Here is a 5,665-nt window from a genome sequence, read left to right on the forward strand (position 1 = left end):
ATTATAAACAATATCAACAACAAAACCAAGAAAAATGCCGCTCTCTACTTCCCCTGTGGAAAACCACAATGGCCGTAAGTGTCTGAACAGTTGAAAAACCTTTCAGCAGTGAGACTGGTTAACTTTAACTCAAGAGTTTTGCAAACATACTTGAATAGGCACCTATCAGCTGCTGGGGCTGGGAAGTATGGTTGCACCCACCTTACTGTGGTTGGCTCAGCTTGGAGGAGCCCTGGGAGACCTGCAGAGAGTGTGGGTGCTAGAGCCTTCTGCAGGGCTCAGGACACATTCCCCAACACACCCAGGGCCAATAATTTGCACTGGGATACAGAGAGGAGGCTCGGGGCCTCTGTCAACAGATTGCCATCCACTTAGATGAGTAAATGGGTAAGAACCTCCTCGGGCCTTCCTGGGAGACCCGGATGTGTGAGGACCGTTCTGGGCCCTTGACCCCTGGTGTGTCTCCACAGTGCTGGCCCCGTGGTGTGGTGACATCTGTCTGTCTGTCTGGTCTAGCATCCAGCACAGTCCTGGGCACATGAATTGGTGCTGATGCTGCTGAAGGAGTGAATGCAGGCCAGAAGGAAGGAGTGCTGGGGAAGAAGTGAGCCATGGAGCAGGTGGGTCAGGGGGCAGGGCAGTTTACCTGACCAAGCTCGGGGGAGAAGGCAGCTTCAGAGACAGGCTGGAGGGAGGGTGGAAGGAGGAGAGTCCTTGTGCGAATGGTGGTCGCAGATAGCATGGAGGCTTGCCCCCTGCAAAGCCACCCTTGGGCACAAAGACCAGGGAGAGAGAGGAATGCAGGAATGGGGAGTGAGGGGCTGCTGAGATCCAAGGACCTGGCTTTCTGCCTCAGAAGCTTGGTGTGCAGCTGGGAGGGGCCGAGTGCAGAAATGCTCCTCTGTAAGGATCAGGACTTTAGCAGATGCCAGCAAATCCACTTGCACCCAGAGTAGGAGTGCAGAGGGAGGCGATGTGGTCAGAGGTGAAGGAGAGAGAGCAAGGAGCCTGATCAGGAATGAGGGGGCGTGGTCAGGAGTGAGGGGGCATGGCCAGTGTGCGGTGAGTGAGGGGGCGTGGTCAGGGGTATCAAGAGCGAGGGGTGTGGTCAATGATGAAGGAGTGAGGTGGTGTGGTCAGGGATGAGGAGAGTGAGGGGGTGTGGTCAGGAATGAGGCGAGAATGAGGCATAGTCAAGAATGAGAGTGAGGGGGAGTGGTCAGGAGTGATGAAAGATGGGGGTGTGGTCAGGGGTGAGGAGAGTGAGGGGGTGTGGTCAGGAATGAGGCGAGAATGAGGCATAGTCAAGAATGAGAGTGACGGGGAGTGGTCAGGAGTGATGAGAGGGAGGGGGTGTGGCCAGGGGTGTGGGTCCAAAATGAGGAAAAGGAAAAACCAAATACCAGAAGAAAAGTTGGACCCAGAAATCGCTTTTTTACAACAAGCAGCCGTTCTCGGAATTTTGCTCAGTGCGTCTGTATTCAGGGAGCGAGACCCTGGGGGAAGCCTGTGCAGGAGACAGAGGGCAGCCCCACCTCATTCTTCTGCTGGTCACTCTGTGCTCAGGCAGGAACCACGGACAGAGGCCTCCCAGTTCACTCGGGGACATATCCGCAGATGTGAGAACTCAGAGAGATGTTCAAGTTTCCTAAGAGGGCTTCAATCATGGCTCACAGGTGACACAGGAGAAATCCAAGTGGGCTTCTCAATTTGTTAAACTTGTTTTTCCTCCTCATATGCTTTATAAACAAAAATGGAAGAATTTAATATATGTACAGAGCAGCAAATGTTCTCTCCCTGTTGCTTTCAGATGTTTTCCTCTTATGTAAACAGTGTTGATGAAAATATAAATACCATCATTCCACCTTCATGTTAACAATCTTATTATCTTGCATCAACAGAAGTGAACAAATATGTACATGACACCTATCAATTCCTTTTTAAAAAACGTATTTCTAAAGAGTGGAGGAAGAATTTAATGAATTCAACATGTAGTTTACCTGCTTATATTTTGAAGGCGATTTAATCAAGTAAAACCAAATTATTGCTTAAGTTGTGTCAGATGTACAACAGCCATCAACACTCTCCATGCTAATGCGGGGTAAGGGGTGGGTGGAACTAATGGCAATGGGTCCAAGTCCTCTGGGTCAGGCGATTAGGGGCTTGGCAGGCTGGAGAGAATGTTTAGATGCTGGGGCAGGATATTTCAACCTGCTGGTCAGGTAAGAGATATTTGCTGGCAGTGAAAGGAATATTTTTTGTGGAACAAATTGCTAGGAAGAGGTCACTTGGGGGGCATTAGATGAGAGAAATATCAAAGCCAAACTCCAAATCAGTCTAAGGGGGCTAAGGAAAACGGAAATCACTACTGATTCCATCTCCTCATTGGTTTCGCTTATTCCATAGCATACTTTCTTTTTCCATCTTCCATCACTTCATATTCTTTTCTCCTCCATTCTTCGGGGTTTTTTTTCTTCTACCTCTTTGTAACAAAGAAGCATTTAGGAACAATTTTAGGAGACAGTGAGACAAAAAAATAATTTAGAGAAGACATGATAATATACTCTGTGTGTGTGTGTGCGTAAAACATATTAATATATTTGATTTGCCAAGAAAGATAAACTGGGATTTTTGAGATTTAAAAAATTCATCATGGCCAGGCGCAGTTGCTCATATCTGTAATCCCAGCACTTTGGGAGTCCACAGTGGGTGGATCGCTTGAGGCCAAGAGTTCGAGACCAGCCTAGGCAACATGGTGAAAACCTATCTCTACTAAAAATACAAAAATTAGCCAGGCATGGTGGCGCACACCTGTAGTCCCAGCTACTCGGGAGGCAGAGGCACGAGAAATGCTGGAACCCAGGAGGTGGAGATTGCAGTTAGCCAAGATCACACCACTGCACTCCAGCCTGGGCAGCAGAATGAGACTCTGTCTTCCAAAAAAAACAAACAAAAAAGCCATGGTATGTCTGGTTATATTAATCTCCAAACCAGCTAGTGTTTAGTATTGCTAGAGCTATAATAGAATCAGGAATAGGAAACAGATAGGAAAAAAAGGAATTTTACAAGGATTTATATTTGCAAAGAAAAAAGGACTTATTTAGAATTGTTTGTTGAAATTCCCCCAAGACTATTTTTTGAACTTATATATGTAGACAACAACAAGAAAAGGAGCTTAGGAGTTCTCACAGGGTTTAGGAACTACTAGACCTTGTGTATTATGTTCATCTCAGCACTCAAGCAAGTAAAGGATAACTAGAACATGGTATCTCACAGTGAATAACATGGTTGGTTACTTTACTAGGCTGACATATGGAGATAGGGCCTATAGGAGCAGGGCTTTTCTTATGAATACCAGAGAGACACCCAGGTTCAACTGCATGTACAGTGCATGAGGGATTAGCTTTACAGTGTTATCTGCAAAGTACCTAAAGGTGTTCTCTAACTAAGCACCAACTTCTTAGCCTAGTCCTCTTAGGCACACACAAAAAAATATCTAATACTAAGCTTATAGGAATACTTTATTTGGTCACTTGGTGGGGGAAGGTTGCTGAGACATATAACATTTAATACCTAAAGGTAGGAGGAAGCAAGGAAAGAGAAAATGCAGAAAGGAAGAGTAAGAGCCCAAAGAAGGGTGCCACCTCTGTAGACTCTCTAACAGAATTAAATTGACAATCTTAAGATAACAGAAGTAAAAGGGCATGCCTTGAGGGAAGCATCAATACACTTTTGGAATCTGAGGCAAAAAGTGAAATGATTTACCTCTTGCCAAGTCTATTGTCATTGCCCCATGGGAGGTTCCCATTTCTTCTACTCTTGAATGCACAAGTAATATTCCTTGCCTAAGGATTAGCATGCTGTGATAATGGTGGTAATGACAGCTGCCTTAAATTAGTGGCAAATTCAGAATGAAACACTGACCACCAGGCTATGTTTCTGAATCCAGTCTATGCCCTCGAATGTATTCAATCTACTTTCTGTGGTATCCCCGAGAGCTGTGGCAAAAGAGTTGTATGGTAGGGGCAGGCTCCTTATGGGGGCATAAATGGCTTCAGAAAACAAGTATTCCATCTTCTCACCATGACTTTTTGGCTTTCTTTTTTTTTTCTCTTTTCTCCCAGACTACTAATTTCCAGTTTCTTCTCTACCAGTCTGGATGCCCATGGTGAACTTTAGAGATATCCATCAGCTCCATCAATTCCCTCAACTACATCTACCTAGCTTTTGAGCCCAGAAGAACCCAATCATGTGTGTTCTCCTCAGCTCCCAGGCTGCTGAGCAATGCTGGAGAAAAATCACAAAACTATACAGTTTGGTATCTCTCCAGAATTATGGTTTCCAGCTTGAGTTGGAAATTCAGAATTACTTCAAAATGTTTAAATTTGTTTCTGGTCAGTTTCCTCCTTCATTTCCCAGTTTCATTTATCACTCTATTTAACTTGTTACCCATCGCTGTCTGCTATTAACCTTGCCTCCTTTTACACGAGAAAACAGAGGCCATCAAATGGCATTTCCCATCACTCCATCACTCCACCTCTGTCAATGAATCCACCAGTAACATCTCAGAGATCCTTCTGTCTAGCACTGATGATCTTATTGTATCAGTTACTCCTTCTTCCTTTTGTATTTTCAATGCTCCTATTGGCCACCAACATGCTTTAGCTGTTCTCATCTAAAGAAACAATAACAACCACAATAAACTAACAAACAATAAACCATCTTTAACAGACCTTACCTTTTCCTCTTTTGCGCCACCTTCAAGCTTCCTAAACTCAGATTTATTCCTCAATCCATTACAATCTGGTTTCTAATTAAACAATTTTTTGCCAGCATCACCAAAAACTTCTGAATTGCTAGTCTCCAAGGTCCTTTCTTCAACCTCATTGTTTTCTTTCTTTTAAAAGTCAAGTTCACTGAAGTATAATTTACGTACAATAAAATTCGCCCTTTTAATACTCTTTTACCATCTAATAAGTTTTGCCTTGTATGTTGGTTCCCTGAGACCTGTAAAACAACTCCCAAATCCCAAACCCCTTTGCTTCATACACAAATCCCTTTGGAATGTCTCAGCAGATATAACACAGGTTCAAGTTCTTTCTTCAGTCATCAGAGTAACAGAGGTTGAAGATGCAATCAAATAAGTGCCAACTCTTGCTGCTCCTGTTTCAAACAAGGAAATTTAGATAATTGTTATACACATTTCTGCAAATAAAATATTCCAGTGCTTACATCAATCCTTAGTTGTTAGGATTAAATATTCACTACTTACAGTTTCCAACACAATTTTTTTTTAAAACATGGCCATTTCTTTTTTTTTTTCTTTTTTTATCTTTTTTTGAGACAGATTCTTGCTCTGTCGCCCAGGCTGGAGTGCAATGCCACGATCTTGGCTCACTGCAACCTCCGTCTCCCAGGTTCAAGCGATTCTCTGGCCTCAGCCTCCCGAGTAGCTGGGACTATAGGCATGCACCGTCATGTCCAACTAATTTTTGTATTTTTAGTAGAGACGGGGTTTCACCATGTTGGCCAGGATGGTCTCGATCTCTTGACCTTGTGATCTGCCCGCCTTGGCCTCCCAAAGTGTTGGGATTACAGGCTGAGCCACTGCACCCAGCCACTATTTATTTTTGAAGTTCACTTTGTTCATCAAAAAGAAGCCTTT

General features: G+C 44.1%; 1 long non-coding RNA gene across 2 annotated transcripts; it reads left to right on the forward strand.

Annotated features, from left to right (window-relative positions):
• Positions 1-234: 234 nt before the first annotated feature.
• On the forward strand, positions 235-4,943 carry LOC105373373 (uncharacterized). 2 transcript variants are annotated; one of them, XR_938533.1, is made up of 4 exons: positions 235-387; positions 517-620; positions 1,567-1,676; positions 4,125-4,943. It is a non-coding gene; the product is annotated as an uncharacterized LOC105373373 (long non-coding RNA). The 2 variants fall into 2 exon arrangements; XR_938534.1 differs by having other exon boundaries at positions 245-387; positions 471-620.
• Positions 4,944-5,665: the final 722 nt, after the last annotated feature.

Source organism: Homo sapiens, chromosome X, assembly GCF_000001405.40.
Source record: "Homo sapiens chromosome X, GRCh38.p14 Primary Assembly".
In the NCBI taxonomy this organism is placed as follows: Eukaryota; Metazoa; Chordata; class Mammalia; order Primates; family Hominidae; genus Homo; species Homo sapiens.